Below are 19,010 nucleotides of genomic sequence, written 5' to 3' on the forward strand. Positions count from 1 at the left end.
CTAAAGGAATCCAATTCACTATCCCAGGGTTGCATCGCAGTGGATTTCATACAGGCCAAGAAAAAACAAAAACGTTTTTAAGCCTCCATCCTCAGATCAAAACAATAAACAAAAAATTATGATATCCTTAACAATGTCCTGGGTTAATATTTTATTCCATAAATCAAGTTTTCAGAACTCTTTACCCTCTAAGAGATACAGATTGAACATGCCTTTATAGGCTCTGAATTTCATAACTTCTAATCTATGCTCATAACCTGGAAAATGTCATCATACTGAATGCCCACATGAAAAGGTACTTTTAGGACCTGCCAGTGACAGTTTATACACACATCAGTCCCTTTTCAAATGTCATTTCCATTAGTATCTTACATCAGAATCACAAGTGAAATGAATATGCTGTAACCTAGTATTTTAAAAGGTTATGTTGAAGGAGTAGAGAGGCTTAAATTAATTTTCCCTTTTCTCATCCAGTAGGCCTTTACTCAATAGGATTTCCTACAATTCTATCTTAATCCATGTCTCTGTGGATGAACCAAACAGACCACAACATAGAAGAGCCTGCCAAAGTGGCTTCCTGCCAGCAGCCCTCTCTCCTCTTTAAGATAGACTTCAGCTTAATGATTGTACAGTGATCCAAATCAATGAAGAAAGCAAAGAACAGACATGTATCTCATTATCTTCTGCAAAGATCTATTTGTTTAGCCATGTGCAAATATTGCCCTAAAATGGTAAGTTGGTTAGCACATATTAATCATTTACTAGATCTATTCAATTCCTAAAATTAATGTTAATTTAATATGCAGGGGGAGTTGCATGGCTGTTTTCGTTGCTGTAGACTTGATATAGGCAGAGAACAAGCAGAAAATTATTTAGAATACCCAGTGGAATCCATCAGTGGAATCCATCATTATATTTTTGAGACTATTAATTAGCCAAAGATTGTAAAAGTATTTTCTAGCAATACCAGTTAAATGAAGTAGAAAAGTTAAATGAAGGCTAAAAGCCCACACAATGCTATCGTGCTGTAAGTATTGTTCTCAATTATTGGAAGTACATATATTATAGAAGCTCAGTATGTATTTCCTAATGAACTGCTTCATGTAAATTATTTCATGCCATAATCTTATCCTTTCCTATACTTTGGCAACTGTTGAGAGGCTGGAAAAGACTGTATTATTTATTCTGAGGCCAAAATATAATCATACTTGGGTAAAAGATACTAGATGTTCATTCACTGAACATTTATTACAGCAAATTTTCATAATCCATAACACTTAGGATGTTTACATCTAATTTTTATCTTGATTGAATTCAGCATTAATAAATTTGAATTTTTTTCACTAAAATATTATTTGGCCTATGAATATCCTGGCAAAAACCAACCACATAAGACTAGGTTTTTATCAATTTATAAACAAATAGGTTGATTTTGAAAAAGTTATCTTTTTAAGTATCTACAAGGAATTTAGAAAATGCAAAATATCTTATAAATTTGAAGGTTGATATAGTAGATTCACTTTAACTCTTTCTACAGGAAACTTTCTCAGAATATGAATCAATAAAATAAATAAAAAGTGTTTACTTCTGTATCTTATGTAGAAATTATTACTAAGGTAGGAATGAATCCTCTCTTAATAGTCCATACAATCACTTTATTCAATCACTTATATATTTACCAAGAAAACTACAAATCTTATACTTTGTATACAGGAAAGACTGTTAAAGTATGAGATATACCCATATTGTAATCTATTTAAGAAAACAAAACTAAATTATGAAAAAATAATCAACTTTGTGATATTGCCCTATGTAAAATTTCTTCTACTTCACAGTCTATATACTACAGCTTCTCTATAAAAAACTCTCTCAGCTCTTCAAGATCTTACCTACAAATAAAAATATCTCTACATTCATCATTATTTTTTTCCTATTACCTAAAATGAAATTATTCTCTGGAAATTTTGCTCTTAATACTCTTTCCTTACTAATACAAGAAGGAATGTATCTTCTTGTAATTCCAGCCCAGCCTTTTGAGAGGCTGATAAAGGAGGATCGCTTGAGCCCAGGAGTTCAAGACCAGCCTGGGCAACATAGTGAGACTCCATCTCTACACAAATTTAAAAATTTAACCAGGCATGGTGGTGCATTCCTGCTGTCCCAGCTACTCAGGAGGCTGAAGTGGGAGAATTTCCTGGGCCTGGGAGATTGAGGCTGCAGTGGGCCATCATGGTACAACTGCACTCCAGCCTGCACAATAAAGTGAGACCCTGTGTCAAAAGGAAAAAAGAAAAAGAATAGCCACCAGGCAGGCTGCAACCCTTTATAAGAAATAAGTCTCTCCTTTCCAAATTTATGAACCTCATCATTCTTCAATTGACAGAATCCTCTCAATAAACATGCTGCACATATTTTAAAAATTCATGGAAATTGACATTTCTTTTTCATTCCTTGGTATCTATCCCCTTAGATACCATACTTAGAAATCAGCCATGTGTGTCTATTATGCAATTTTCTGTATTTCATTGTGTTTTATAGGTATTTGTGAATTTATATTGCCTTACTGAAAAATAGTACCTTCTTGAAAGCTGTCTCTTGTTATATATTGGGCTTGTATCTCACATAGTGTCACACAGAATCCTTCACATAGTGGAAATTTGCCATTTGATGGCAAGAGAAACAGGAAGGCATGAAGACCCATTCATTCATACCGCCCATTCAGGATCATCTTTTCATGGAGAATTATCTCTAGGCCATTTAGTGAACAAAACATTTCAGAGCTCAATACATTTCAAAGGCATATACATTCAACAACTGGATCAGTATTAGCTGAAGACAGTTTTCCAGAGATAGTTTAGAGGTACCAGTTCTCAGAGATTCTAAACCAGTATTTCTGAGGTAGAGTCCAGTAGACTACACTTTTAAAGAACTCTACATACTTTTTTTAAGCCTGTTTCACAGCAAGATTTTAGAACTAATGAATATTTTACATGACACATTTTCTTAAAATCTTGGGGCCTTAATATTAGCATGAAACATGAGTAAACTATGACTTGGAGTAAATAATAAAACTTGCCTAAGTTTATTGAATTATAACTCACATCTGGAGTTTGGGGTCAATACTACCTTTTACCATACCACAATTGCCTTCCATGGAAATACTTTTTTGTTTAATTATGTGTATCACTTTCTCAGGAGATATTATTCTAGATTGTGGGTTACTACATCAAGCCTATCTAACACTCCCCCTTTCTCCTAAAGTTTTGGTCAAGGTTTTATTTGCTTGTTGGTTTAATTCTCCACTGTGGCTTACTTGAGCACACAGAGAGTCTGTCTTGTTTTCTTCCCATCCCTAATCCTAACCTGATCCTAATCCATTACCTGAGAAAAACATTCATATGAGATCCTCTTTCTCCTAAGGAATCATTTTGTATATCCAGCTTTTTCTAACCACTTAGTAGTAATTTAACCAATTCTCCTGGCCAACACTTGAATCAAAGTGATAGGACAAGTTAATTCACACTAACCTGCTAATGAATATAAAGAAAATATAGCATCATTCTCCCAAAATATATAAGAATTCAGTGTGCTTATAAAAAATTGAGGAAAGTACAATCATTGAGTGATAATAATTTTGCCTAGAAGAGGCATTTAGAACCATTTATATTTATAATGCAGCTAACATTTTGACTGGTGTATTAATATCATCCAGAGAAACAGAAACACATATACACACACACATATATATACAGATGTGTATGTATATTACATACACATGTTTATATATACACAGCTGTATATATACATATATACATGTGTGTATGTATATGTATATATATAGGCACATATAGCCTATTGATAATTCTGGAGAGAGAAAGAGAGAGAGAGATTTTAAGGAATTAGATTACAAAATTGTGAGAGCTAGCAATTCCAAAATCTGAAGGATAGGCTAGCACGCTGAAGACCCAGGTAAGAGTTGATGCTGCAGTTTGAGTTTGAAGGCAGTTTTCTGTTAAGGCCTTCAACTAATTGGATGAGGCCTACCAACAAAATGGAATGTAATCTGCTTTGGAATGTAATGGAATGTAATTGCTCAAACTCAGCTGTTTTAAATGTTAATCTTATCTAAAAAATACCTTCATAATACATGCAGAATCATGTTTGACCAAATATCTGGGTACTGATGCCTAGCCAAATGCACACATAAAATTCACCATAATACCTGGTAATACATAAAGAAAATTCATTTTACAAATCAAAATAATCTGAGATTAAAATTAAGGCAATGTATCCTTATGGAGTGTTATTGTATCTCATCAGTCAGCTTAACGTGAAATGAGACTACTAGGACAGGACTGATGAGAAAACCATAGCACAGAGAAATAAGATTTCATAATAACATTTCACAAACAGAAGTTCAGGGGCTGCAGGATCAGAAACCCAATTATGTCATCATGTTATTTTTTTGTGAGATTTGAAAAGCAGCTTTGTAATTTATTCCAGGGTAACCATAAATCTGAATTTCATGGCAAACTTCTAGCAGCAGCAAACATGTGCACTTGAATGTATTCTAGACAAGAGACCAGAGTAAAATGTAATAAAAATTTCAAAGAAACTAATATCTACTTCTTTGAAAAATGCCACAATGCTTCTAACCTTCTCTTTTCTCTATATCTTGTGTATATACGCAAGATACCTAAAGGAACATTAGTGTGCTCCTTCTTCAATCACCTTACACAATTTTATTCTTGTCTTGTTTTTCTTTTTCACACACAAACACACACACGCACACACAAAGTGTTTTCAAAGCTCAGTATGTATTTCCTAATGAACTGTTTCACATGAATTATTTCACGCCTTAATCTTATCCTTTCCTACACTTTGGCAACTGTTGAGAGGTTGGAAAAGACTGTATTATTTATTCTGAGGCCAAATATAATCATGCTTGGGTAAAAGGTACTAGATGTTCATCCACTGAACATTTATTACAGCAAATTTTCATAATCTATAACACTTAGGATGAACTTCAAAGCATGTATGGGGTTCTTGATATAGCTTGCTTGCTTAAGTAAAAGCTATGATAAACTTAATTTATCCTGAGGATACTGGAATCTGTGAGAGAGTGAGAGATGTTCCTAGATATTATTTTTGGCTTAATTTTTCAGTTTGTAAATCAATCAGAACCACTCAGCGGCTCTAGGACTGACAGAATAGAGGTATGGGCACAGAGAAGTCTTCAGGAAACGTACACCTTCTAACATAGCTGGAGCTGAGGTCCAGGTCCAGCACTATTACAGATGGAGGACGTGTGTCTAGTCTCAAGTAGGGGGATTGGCCAAGGAAAACTGAGTCAGACAACCAAGTCAGGGTTTCAGGCACAATGGTGTTTTGGGATCCTTGGGGGTGTTGCTTTTCTGGCCTAAAACCTCTTTCCAGTGGTGCCTTTTCCTGAGTTTTGCTCGGCCCGCTGGGCTCGTTCCACCCACTCGGCCTGGCAGGCTGTGCTTGGCTCAAGCTACTAGCCTGTATCCCATGCCTCCCAAGGGTGAGTTAGGCATGGAGTGGCGAGGGGTGTGTCAACAAGCGTGAGGTCCAGCCTCTACGCAGTCAGATCCTTCAGCTACTGCAATGCAGGCAGCACCAGGTGCTGGCATCGGTGCCAGCTCTCTGCAAGGCTGCAGCTGGACAGGTACCCCACAAGCAGCTGGCACTGGGGAATGTGGTGGCACCCAGAAGCTCTGAGATGCCAGGAACCGCAGGACCTCAAAGAGGGACTAACAGCCCTAGTTCGGAGAGCTCCCGGGTCTGGGATCCTACAAGGGCTGCAGCTCTTCTCTCCCTCTCTTCACCCACAACGAGGTGAGCAAAGGGCATGTTTCAGTCCCGTTTGTGGTACAGCTCTTCTAGACTTGCCATTCAGCAGGCCCTGAGTTCTTGTCCTGCAATCAGAAAGAATGAGGCACATAGACAAGTGGAGGATGAGCAAGAAGAAGAGCTTTATTGAGCAGTAGAATAGCTCAGAGACCTGCTGTAGATAGCTCTTTTCTGTAGCCAGGTGTCTGGACGAGTGTTCAGCCCTCAGCAGAGTGTAGAAAGCCCTGGGTTAGGTTGCTCCCCTCTGCAGACAGGTCTCCCTGGAGTGGAAGCTCCTCTCTGCCGCTGGTTGTCCCAACACTCTCCAGCTATCAGCAGAGAGAGTAGCTCTTAGCTCCTCTCTGCAGCTGGTTATCTGCTTCTCTGCTCTGCTCTGCTCTGGCTAAGCCCAGGGCTTCTATGGGCCTCAGAGCGGGGAAGGGCATGCTGATTGTTACATGGGCAGCCATGGGCAGGCCCATGTAAAAGCACCACGAGATCCCCCTCAGAACTGGCAGCCTGCCGCCAGGCTTCAGACCTTCCCCGGCCTAAAGGTGGGGCTTCACTGGGGACCTGCTCCCTTCTGCCCATGAACCTGCCATCCTTCTCCTGCTGTTCAAGGCAACCAGGCTGCCTGACTTTGCTCCTATCTCCTGGCACAAAAAAAGAGAGAAGCCAGACATCAAGAACAGGCACCTCCGAACCTGCAAGGACAGGGGCCTTCCTGAGCGAGAGTGCAGGGAGGTTTTCCCAGGCCTCCAAGAGTGTGAGGATGCCTGAGTCTGCAGCCGCTGTTTGGGCAGTTGCAGCTGTGCCTGGGAGTGGGGCAGGACTCCTGCCTGCTCCACGGAGCGAGGCTGTGTATGCAGCTGTGGTTTGGGCAGCTGCAGCAGCACCCGGGGAGCTACCACCCCAACTCAGAAGGGGTGGGGCTCCAGCTTGTCCATGGTCCCCTGGCTCCACACAGTAGGCAGCCCCAACCGCACCTCCCTGCTCCAGCCGGGTGATGGCAGTGGCAGGTTGTCTGGAGGGCTGCTACCATCACAGGAATCAAATGAAAGTAAAAGTAAGCCATAGTGCTTAGAACGGTTTCAGACAGGACAGAAGCCAAATTACAAAAAGATGGAGGCATAAGGTCAAAGATAGACTGTCATATCTTGATTTAACTAATTATTGTATGAATTGAAAAAATGTATGCCCTAGAAGATAGCAGCTGAGCCTGAAGATCTGAGTAAAATAAATCAGTAACTAGGAGAGAAGAAACAAGACAGTAGGAAACAAGGGGCCAAGACGTAAGTTAGGTGTGGAGTACCCAGTAGCTCTGTCAAAGTGGGTCAGTAACTGTGCAGGTCACTGTAGAAAATGTTGACTTCAACTTCCTCTTTAAAATCCTTCTGGAATCTGTATTTAAAAATGAAACAACACTATCCTAAACATTTTATGTGGATAGAAATTTGTTTTCTTCCCCAGATATGTTTGATTTGTGTCTTAAGTTTTAATCCTTTAGATATTTTGGTACCAATAAACAGGAGTGCAGTTACTACAGTGTATTTTGTAGACAATAGAAAACAGTGAGTATATTTTTCAACCCTAAGAAACTGTACTATAAAGTTTGGTGGGACTTTTGTATCCACCACATTTAAATATACTTAATAAAGATATAGTCTGACACTACAAATGCTACGTAACATATATAGTTCTTTTTTTTTTGAGACGGAGTCTCGCTCTGTTGCCCAGGCTAGAGTGCAGTGGCTTGATCTCAGCTCACTGCAAGCTCCGCCTCCCGAGTTCACGCCATTCTCCTGCCTCAGCCTCCCCAGTAGCTGGGACTACAGGTGCCCGCCACCACGCCCAGCTAAATTTTTTTGTATTTTTTAGTAGAGACGGGGTTTCACCATGTTAGCCAGGATGGTCTCGATCTCCTGACCTCGTGATCCACCCGCCTCGGCCTCCCAAACTGCTGGGATTACAGGCGTGAGCTACCGTGCCTGGCCACATATATAGTTCTAAACACAAACACACAGAGAGGGAGACACACACAGACACACAGAGAGAGAGAGACACACACACAGACACACACAGACGCGCACACACGCACACACACACACACACAGATGCAGTCATAGTGCACTACAGCTTCAGACTCCTGGACTCAAGTTAACACACTGTTTTCTCATGGTGCCTTCTTTTCACTGCCCATCCCCCTTTGCAAAATGTTCAGCAATATACTCTCAGTGACATATTTTTTCTATAATTTCAATTCCATTCAAGATTAAATATATCAGCCAGGCACAGTGGCTCACGCCTGTAATCCCTGCACTTGGGGAGGCCAAGGTGGATGGATCACCTGAGGTCAGGAGTTCGAGACCAGCCTGGCCAACATGATGAAACCCAGTCTCTACTAAAAATACAAAAAATTAGCTGGGCATGGTGGCAGGCGCCTGTAATCCCAGCTACTGGGGAGGGTGAGGCAGCAGAATGACTTGAACCCGGTAGGCAGAGGTTGCAGTGAGCCGAGATCGCACCACTGCACCCCAGCCTGGCCAACAAGAGCAAAACTCTGTCCCTGCCTCCCCCCCAAAAAAGATTAAATATATCGCTATTCATAAAATTACCTCAAATATCAAAACCTGTAATACAGTAGGCTTTGGGCATTCAGAAGGAATCCTGAGACCTCTATAAAATCTCAAATTCACAAAGCATGTAATTTTCTCCCTAAAATATGGACAAGACATAACAAAGTGCCACAAAATCAGGTCAAGATGTAGAAGCTTGGCAGATTGTGTGCATAGGCCTTGAGCTAATTCCCAGAATCTCTTACAAGAGTATCACAGTTTCTCAAATTAGTGTCTTAGTAAAATTAAAATGAAATTCTAGTGTCTTTAATCACTAATTATGAAGAATGTTATATATCTGACCTATAGACGTTTTTACGAATTTGGATTTTATACAACTTTTTGCTAATAGATCCTTCCATTCTTTTCAAGTAAAGCCCACTATCTTCATCCAAAAAAAAAGGAAAGATTTTCTCAGGAAACCCTTGTGTATTGTTGGTAGGAACGTAAATTGGTACAGCCATAATGGAAAGAAGTATGGAGGTTTCTCGAAAAATTAAAAATAGAGGGCCAGGCGCAGTGGCTCACGCCTGTAATCCCCACACTCTGGGTGGCCAAGGTGGGGGAATCACTTGAGCCCAGGAGTTCAAGACCCACCTGGCCAACATGGTGAAACCCCATCTCTACTAAAAATACAAAAATTGGCTGGGCATGGTGGTGCTTGTCTGTAATCCCAGCTACTTGGGAGGCTGAGGCATGAAAATCGCTTGAACCCGAGAGGCGGGGGTTGTAGTGAGCTAAGATCATGCCAGGGTACTCCAGCCTGGGTGAGGGCAAGACTCCATCTCAAAATAAGAAATTAATTTTTTTAATTAAAAATAGAACTACTATATGACCCAGCAACCTTCTTCTGGGCATATACCCAAAGAAAATGAAATCGGTACTTCATAAAGATATCTGCACTCCTATGTTCATTTCAGCATTATTCCTGATAGCCAAGATATAGAAACAACTTAAGTATCTGTATATGAATGGCCAGATAAAGATATCATGATACATATACATATGCACATCATATAATGGAATATTATTCATCCTTTAAACAAAAGAAGGTGATCCTACCATTTGAGACAACATAGATAACCTGGAGAACATTATGCTATGTGAAATAAACCAGGCACATACAAAAAATACTGCGTGATCTCTCTCGTGTGGAATCTAAAAATATGGTCAATAAACAGATATAGAGAGTAGGAACAGCAGTTACCAGAGACAAAGTGGGTTGGAGATAAGAAAATATAGGACAAAGGGTATAAAATTGCAATTACTTAGGATAACTGTATTTAGGATCTAATATACAGCATGATGACTCTACCTGGTAATAGCGTATGCTAAGAGAGTAAATTTTAAATGCTCCTAGCCACAAAAAAGTTAACAATATAAGATGAACGATATGTTAATTGTCTTGACAGTAGTAGTTTTAACTATGCCTATGTATATCAAAACACTATGTTACACACTTTAATTAATAAAATTTGCAGGACAAAAAAGTCCTGCAAATGTTCCTCATGCTCTTTCTACTTCTAGTTCACAGGTTCCAGGATAACCAGATGACTGAGGAATGTTGAAGATTGCAGTGATGGAAGTGTCTCAGTCAGCCTGGAAGACTGTATGGAAGGAGGTTGCCTGGCCACACTGTCATGTCCCCCTCTCCCTAAAAAAGGGACACATTTGCCTTTGTGCAAGGCAACACATACATTTGGTCTGTGTATATACTTTGGTCTATGTATTCTGTTATTTAACATTCTAATAATGTTGATGACCTTAAAATATGTTTGACAATGATCCTTGTAAATCATTATTATTCTGCCTTCTGCAAGATAAGAATTATGGGCCAGGTATGGCACTTAACGCCTATAATACAAACATTTTGGGAGGCCCAGGCAGGAGGATTGCTTGAGCTCAGGAGTTAGAGACCAGCTTGGGCAACATAGTGAGACCTCATCTCTACTAAAAATAAAACAAAAAAAGTTATGATAGTGACACTGCACTCCAGCCTGGGTGACAGAGCAAGATCCTGTATCCAAATAAATAAATGCCTAATATAGGAATTATCAAATTCAACACATATTAATTATTTTCATATCCATTTGTGGAAAATAATAACGTGGGGATTATTCTTAAAAAGGCTTCTGGAAGTGGCTTCTTCAATTAAATATATTCAAAACTGATTCCCGCTTACTACGCAAATCAAAGAGGAATTGAAAATGTGTGTGATTCCCACTAAATAATTTTCCTTTTGTATGACTTGATGTTACTATCTTTGTGGAGTGGCTGAGGAATGTCTCCTTCTTGCCTTTGTCTTCAAAGGCTCTGCCAATGTGAAGTACAGGAGAGAGAGGCAAGACCAGGGCCCACTAGCGGAACCATCTCAGCCTTATTCCCCAGAGGAAAACACATTCTTTTTCACTTTCCTGAGCTGCCTTATCTGATAAAAATGATTCTTACATTTCCGAGCAATGCCTTCTGATTGTAATGTAGCTTATGCCACTGGTTTGCCTATTTCTCAAATATAAACATACACACACATACACACATTTGGCCTTAGCCTTTCTAATTTCACTCTCATCAGGACAGATTGCACACCTGTAAACATTCTCAGATCAACTCCAGTAATCAATCCACATTCATGTAACCCCTGTAGAATTAAAGATCACTGGAGACCTTCAAGATCGACTTCCCATTTAAACCATAAGAAAACAAGACCCCAATGTGTCAGCTGCAGAACCACAACACGGACCCGAGTCCCATGTCTTATTTGTTCAGTGGTTTTTCTAAGTCACTGTAAAATTTTTCTACATTCCTGGCCTGAGAACAGAAGTACCTTTTGCTTATTTATTCAATTAAATTCAGTAGTTGGTAAATGTGAATAAAGGAAATCAAAACACTATTGAAGATTATTTAGATATGGCTGAGAAGTGGGGTGAGCACACCTGACCCACTTTAACTTAGAGATTCAAAATATAAACTTAACTCAGCTGCAGTCAACAACCTGACATTAAATGCAAACATACAAGTAAAGAACCCAAATAAACAGAAAAAAACTAACCTGCTACCTACCTTAAAACACTAAATATAGAGCTCCTGTCATCCTGTTTCTTACTGATTTATAACTTCAAATAACAGGTCAAGAAAAAAGCTATATATATGAAAAGATGAGATCTGTGTTTCAATCCAAATCTTTCTTTCAATAACCCTACTACTTGAAACCATAGAAGGAGACAGGAACTTCCTCCCTTGTTTCTTTTTTCTTTTTCAAAACTACCCACTAATCTTTTAATTAAAAGTGAATGATGGAGAGATGGCAAGTGAGCAGGAGAAGCTGAGGAACACAGCTCCCTTATGGATTTGCACAACGCTAATCAGTCTTCACATCTTACAGAGAGATCTGTATTAGTTACATGGAATCTAATCTGTTCTACTAAAGCTGATGCTGTCAGCTGCCATGCTTAGCACTCGTTCATTATGCTTGTAGACACATTTTGAGAAAACACGTAATCTAGAAGAGAAACTTCTAAGAAGGTTTTACATACTATATGATGCTAATATTTTAGATAATATTTTATGCTAGTTTAGTCTTTGTGTATTGAAAGAACTCTGATTTTCCTGGAAGTCCCTAGACAGTACATTTAATTAATCTTACCTCTCAATTCAACAAGTTGCCTTTTATTTTAGTCATAAAATCAATCTCTTGGTAATAATATATAGTGATATCCAGGTATGTATGATGCAAGCAAGTTTTTAGTTTAAAGCTAAGGAATTAAAATGAAAACAATACATAGTGCTCTCTGTACAACAATGACTGAGAATAGGTAGTGCGTGCTCTTTATATACAAGGCACTGTGCTGAGCATATTTCGTAAGTTATTGCCATGATTCCATGTAATTATGTATTATAATTTTACATTTGAAGAAAATAAGCCTCAAAAACGGCAAGCAGTTCACCCACCCACATTTAAAACTCTGTTACGCCTCTGAGATATACAGCCCATGAATTCTACCATTATTCACTCTGTCTCTCAACTCCATTCTGTCTTCATGTACCTCCCAGCCCAACTGATGTGTCAAGGCATTGGATTTAATTCATTCACCCCAAAAGTATTTATCACATGCTTATATGTGCTTGGCTCTCTTCTAGGTGCCCAAGTCACATCAGTGAAAAAAATAAACAAGATCCTCATCCTCATCAAGCTTATATTCATTTCCCAACATCTGATTTCAATTTCCTTGCCATGCACTCCTTTCATCATAGAAGCCTTACAAAATCCCCAATCCAATTGAATCTAATTCTGTGCTTCATATTTGTCACCCTCACTTGGTAAAACTCACAACTGTGCTTGCCGGATATTACCATAAATTACTAACCATGAACTTCAAGTGGTCTATTAGTGATCAGCACCAATGCTTTAACAGTTGTCTGCTCCTTTGACTCTTTCACGTTCCTAAAAGATTTTCCATTTTTTCCCTGTCTCCTTCCTGTAACTCCTGTCCAATTCTTATCTCACCTAATGACTTTGATTCTTATTATACAAAGACAATAGTAAAAATCAGAAGAGTACTTACAAAAACTACCACCATGAAAATCATCACTCTACCTGTATCTCTCCCGACTCTTGATCATCCTTCCTACCACTGTGGAGAAATTTTTCCGTGCATTTTTGTTCTCGGTACTGCTGAAGATTTTTTCCATGCCTCTGTCCAAGGAGGGCATCTCTTCACTAGATCCCAGTTGTATCATTCTAGCATTTGCCCTCATTTTCTCCCATATCACTGGCTTTCCAATTTTTCCCTTTTAAAAGGATAATTCCTATAAATTTACAGCTATAATAGATAACAGAAAAAAGCCTCTCTTGATCCAAGGTCTCCTTCCATTTCCCACCCCATTTATCTCTTTTCCTTTACATTAAAGTTTTTCCAACTGTTTCCAGTTTCTCCCACACAATTCTCTCCTTAATCTAGCCCTGAAGTCTCTCAGGCCTATGACTTCAAAATGAGAACCTCCACCCAGACCATCATTGATCTCAAAGTTGCTAAGTTCAGGTCAATTCCTGGTACTTGTCTTACTTGACCTCTGTGGTGCTTAAATTAGCTGATCCCTTTCCTTCTTGAAACACATTGTCCATTTATTTCCAGGATGCCATTTTCTTGATTCTTCTCATGAGATTCTGCTCAGATTTCTTTATTTGATCTTTCTCAACTCTCAAGCCTTTGAAATTTGGGATGCACTAAAATTCAGTCCATTGATATTTCCTTTTAAAAATGCCCATTGCCCTACTGAACACATCCAGTCTCGTATCATCTACACATGGATGATTTCCCAATTTATATTTCCACATTTAAACGCCTACTCTAAATATTTGCTTGGCTACCTAAAAAGCATCTCAAATGTAAAATGTCCATATTTGATCTCCCTCATACTTCCCTCTTCTAATAAAATTTTCAAGTCTTCTTCTCAATAATGGTAAATACTCTCTACTGCCATATCATCCTGAACATGCACAATCTCATTAACAATGGCAAATACTTTCTTCCAGATGCTGATGTGGAAAACCTAATGTTCATCCTTGATTAATATTTTTCTCTTACAACATATATCTCACCCGCCCCTGTACCACGTGTTTCAAGCCATCATCACTTTACACCTGCATTATTGCAATATCCTCCTAAGAAGCTGCTCTTTTTTCTTCACCACCTCCAACATCAGTTCTTAACACAGCAGCCAAAATGATCATTTTAAAATAAAAGTTAGATCCTCTCTCTCTCTCAGTATAAACCCTCTTTCTCAGAGTAAAAGCCAGGTCTAACAATGACACCTCATAATTGTCCATCTTATCTCCTGACCTCATTTCTTACCTCTCTCCTTCTCTAGCTCTTTTCCTTATACCCTAGAATCCTCAAACTTGATCCAGACTCAGAACCTCTGCCTGGAACATTCTACTCTCTGATAGCTCTAGAACTAGAATATAAGGTAAATAACACTTGCTGATTTGAAAAATATACTACAAACCTAAGTGGTTTAATACAATGTCTTTTTTTTTTTTTTTGCTAACATTACAGTCCAGTGAGAGTACGGCAGCAATCAAGTCACCAAGTGACCTGAATTGCTTATTATGAACTGGGTGCTTTCTGACCCATCTAGCCATCAAGGGGGCCATGCACAGCAGCATTCAGCATCAAATCATCAAATTAAAGTGGTATATATGTGATCTGGCTTGAGCAGGTCCTGAAGACACAAGTAAGTTACCTGAGAAAGTAGCTCAAATGTCCATGGTCTCCACTCCTGCCACCTTGCCTTCTTTCCCTTAGCCTGCACTGATGGCCTCATGGGGAGTTCCCTATGATCAGTTGACAGAGGAAGACAAGACTAGGGCTTGGTTCACAGATGGTTATGCACGATATGCAGGCACCACCTGAAAGTGGACAGCTGCAGCTCTATAGCCCCTATCCCTGAAGGACAGTGGTGAAGGCAAATCTTCCCAGTGGGCAGAACTTTGAAGAGTATACCAGGTTGTGCACTTTGTATGGAAAGAGAAATGACCAGTAGCGCCATTGTATACTGATTCATGGGCTGTAGCCAATGGTTTGGCTGGATGGTCAGGCACTTGGAAGAAGCATAATTGGAAAATTAATGACAAGGGAATTTGGGGAAAAGGTATGTGGATATACCTCTTGGAGTGGCCAAAAACTGTGAAGATATTTGTATCCAAAGTGAGTGCTCACCAACGTGTCATCTCAGCAGAAGAGAATTTTAATAATCGATTGGATAGGGTGACCTTTTCTGTGGACACTACTCAGTCTCTTTCCACAGCCACAGCTGTCATTGCCCCATGGGCCCATGAAAAAGGGGCCATGGTGGCAGGGAAGGAGGTTATGCATGAGCTCAGCAACAAGGACTTCCACTGCCCCAAGCTGACCTGGCTATGGCCACTGCTGAGTGCCCAGTTTACCAGCAGCAGAGATCAACACTGAGCCCTCAATATGGCAACATTTCTCGGGGTGATCAACCAGCTACCTGGTGGCAGGTTGATTATATTGGATCTCTTCCCTCATGGGAAGAGCAGAGGTTTGTCCTCACTGGAATAGACACTTATTCCAGTTATAGGTTTGCTTATCCTGCACCCAATGCTTCTGCCAAAACTACCATCCTTGGACTCACAGAATGCCTTATCCACCGTTATGGTGTTCCACACAGCATTGCCTCTGACCAAGGCACTCACTTGCGACAGTGGGCACATGCTCGTGAAATTCACTGGTCTTACCATGTTGCCCATTATCTTGAAGCAGCTGGATTGATAGAATGGTGGAACGGCCTTCTGAAGTCACAATTACAATGCCAACTAGGTGACAATATTTTGCAGGGCTGAGGCAAAGTTCTCCAGAAGGCTGTGTATGCTCTGAATCAGCATCCAACATATGGTACTATTTCTCTCATAGCCAGAATTCATGGGTCCAGGAATCAAGGGGTGGATGTGGAAGTGGCATCACTTGCCGTCACCCCTAGTGGTCCACTAGCAAATTTTTTGCTTCCTGTTACCATGACATTACATTCTGCTGGCCTAGATCTCTTAATTTCAGAGGGAGGAATGCTGCTACCAGGAGACACAACAATGATTTCATTAAATTGGAAGTTAAGAATGCCACTTGGACACTTTGGGCTCTTCCTACCTTTCAGCCAAGAGGGTAAGAAGGGAGTTACAGTGTTGGCTGGGGTGATTGAACTGGACTATCAAGATGAAATCTACCTACTACTTTACAACAGAGGTAAAGAAGAGTATGCATGGAATACAGGAGATCCATTAGGGCATCTCTTAGTATTACCATGCTCTATGATTAAGGTCAATGAGAAACTATGAAAGCCCAACCCAGGCAGGACTACAAATGGCCCGGACCCTTCAGGAATGGAGATTTATGTCACTCCACCAGGAAAAAAACCCACGACCTGCTGAGGTGCTTGCTGAAGGCAAAGGGAATACAGAATGGGTAGTAGAAGGTAGTCATCAATACCAGCTATGACCACGTGATCAGTTGCAGAAACAAGGACTGTAATTGTTTTAAGTATTTCCTCCTTTTGTTAAAAACTGTTTGTGCATGTATACACTTGTACTAAGAAAATATCTCCGTTTTATTCCTTTTTTCCTTTATCATGTTACATAGGATTTATTGACTTCATACCAGCATTTAAGTATTGTTAACTTTATGTAATAGCATTTGCGTTGGGGATTGATGTAGTTCCAGTTGTACCAATGATAGTTGTATTATGTTAGGTGTAATTCTGATCTTATTATTGTCTTTATTTGAAGATTATGTTTGATCTCAGGCGATGTGGATGGGTTCAAATTGACAAAGGTGGACTTGTGATGGTTAATACTGAGTGTCAACTTGATTGGATTGAAGGATGCAAAGTATTGATCCTGGGTGTGTTTGTGAGGGTGTTGCCAAAGGAGATTAACATTTGAGTCGGTGGGCTGGGAAAGGCAGACCCACCCTTAATCTGGGTGAGCACCATCTAGTCAGCGGCCCCTGTGGTCAGGATATGAAACAGGCAGAAAAACATGAAAAGTCTAGGCTGGCTTAGCCTCCCAACCTACGTCTTTCTCCTGTTCTGGATGCTTCCTTCCTTTGAACATCAGACTCCAAGTTCTTTAGCTTTGGGACTTGGACTGGCTTAGTGATGGAGGACTTGCAGATGGCCTATTCTGGGACCTTGTGATTGTGTGAGTTAATACTACTTAATAAACTCATATATATATATCCTATTAGTTCTGTTCCTCTAGAGAACCCTGTCTAATATGTACAGGCTCTATGCAAGTCTGAAATCTAATAGGGCAGACATTAAACCTTAAAGTTCCAAAATTATCTCCTTTGACTCCATGTCTCACATCCAGGTCATGCTAAAGCCAGAGGTGGGCACCCATGGCCTTGGGCAGCTTCGCCCCACTGCCTTTGCAGGGTACATCCCCCTTCCCTGTCTCTATCACAGGCTGGCATTAAGTGTCTGTAGCTTTTCCAGGCATACAGTGAAAGCTGAAGGTATATCTACAATTCTGGGGTCTGGAAGATGGTGGCCTTTTCTCACATCTCCATTAGGCAGTGCCCCAGTGAGGACTCTGTGTGAGAGCTCTGACCCCACAATTCCCTTCCATACCGCCGTAGCAGAAGTTCTCCATAAGGGCCCCATCCCTGCAGCAAACTTCTGCCTGGACCTCCAGGTATTTCCATACATCCTCTGAAATCTAGGCAAAGGTTCCCAAACCTCAGTTCTTGACTTCTGGGCATCCACAGGGTCAACACCACATGGAAGCTGACAAAGACTTGGGCCTTGCATGTTCTGAAATCATGGCCTGAGCTGTACCTTGGCCCCTTTTAGCCATGGCTGAAACAGCTGGGATACAGGGTACCAAAACCCTAGGCTGCACACAGCTGGAGGGCCCTGATGGCCCATAAAACAATTTTTTTTCTCTCTTAGGCCTCCAAGCCTGTGATGGTGGGGGCTACCATGAAGGTCTCTGACATGCTCTGGAGACATTTTCCACATTGTTTGGTGATTAACATTCGGCTCCTTGTTACTTATGTAAATTTCTGCAGCAGGCTTGAATTTATCCCCAGAAAAAAATATATATATGTTTTCCTATCACATCACCAGGCTGCAAACTTTCCAAGCTTTTGTTCTCTGCTTCTTCTTAAATGTTTTGCCCCTAGGAAATTTCTTCTGCCAGATACCCTAAATCATCTTTCTCAAATTCAAAGCTACACAGATATCTAGGGCAGGGGCAAAATGCCACCAATCTCTTTGTTAAGCATAGCAAGAGTGACCTTTACTCCAGTTCCCAAGAAGTTCCTCATCTCCATCTGAGACCACCTCAGCCTGGACTTTATTGTCCAAATCACTAACAGCATTTTGATCAAAGCCATTCACCAAGTCTCTAGGAAGTTTGAAACTTTCCCACATCTTTCTGTCTTATGAACCCTTCAAGTCCCTAAGAAGTTTCAAACTTTACCATATTTTCCTGTGTTTTTGTGAGTCCTCTAAACTGTTCCAACCTCTGCCTGTTACCTAGCTCCAAAGTTGCTTCCACATTTTTGGTTATCTTTACAGAAGCACCCCACTCCTGATACCAACTTACTACATTAATTTGTTCTCATGCTGCTATGAAGAAATACCTGAGGCTGGATGACTTATAAAGAAAAGAGGTTTAATTGACTTACAGTTCTGCATGGCTTGGAGGTCTCAGGAAACTTACAATCATGGAGGAAGACACCTCTTCACAGGGTGGCAGGAGAGAAAAATGAGTTCAAGCAAGGGAAATACCAGGTGTTTATAAACCCATTAGATCTTGTGAGACTCACTGATTTTCATGAGAACAGCATGGGGGAAACAGCCCCCATGATCAAAATACCTCTACCTGGTCCCACCCTTGACACAGGGAGATTATTACAATTCAAGGTGAGATTTGGGTAGGGACACAGAGCCAAACCATATCAGATAGATAGGTGGATTATTCTTTTGATTTTCATTTTGATTCTGTTTCTCTAGTGAATTGTG

The 19,010-nt window shown here is 40.2% G+C and overlaps 1 long non-coding RNA gene across 1 annotated transcript, besides 1 other annotated feature; it reads left to right on the forward strand.

Annotated features, from left to right (window-relative positions):
• Nucleotides 1-661: 661 nt before the first annotated feature.
• LINC00314 (long intergenic non-protein coding RNA 314) lies at nt 662-10,508 on the forward strand. The gene is made up of 2 exons (NR_027246.1): nt 662-731; nt 9,996-10,508. It is a non-coding gene; the product is annotated as a long intergenic non-protein coding RNA 314 (long non-coding RNA).
• Nucleotides 5,478-5,644: a silencer, noted in NCBI's record as "fragment chr21:29390498-29390664 (GRCh37/hg19 assembly coordinates)". NCBI's record gives its function as "represses an EF-1alpha promoter that drives an FKBP-Casp9 reporter gene in an ReSE screen in K562 erythroleukemia cells {active_cell/tissue: K562}" and the evidence as "EXISTENCE:reporter gene assay evidence [ECO:0000049][PMID:32094911]".
• Nucleotides 10,509-19,010: the final 8,502 nt, after the last annotated feature.

The sequence above is a fragment of the Homo sapiens genome, chromosome 21 (assembly GCF_000001405.40).
Source record: "Homo sapiens chromosome 21, GRCh38.p14 Primary Assembly".
Classification (NCBI taxonomy): domain Eukaryota; kingdom Metazoa; phylum Chordata; class Mammalia; order Primates; family Hominidae; genus Homo; species Homo sapiens.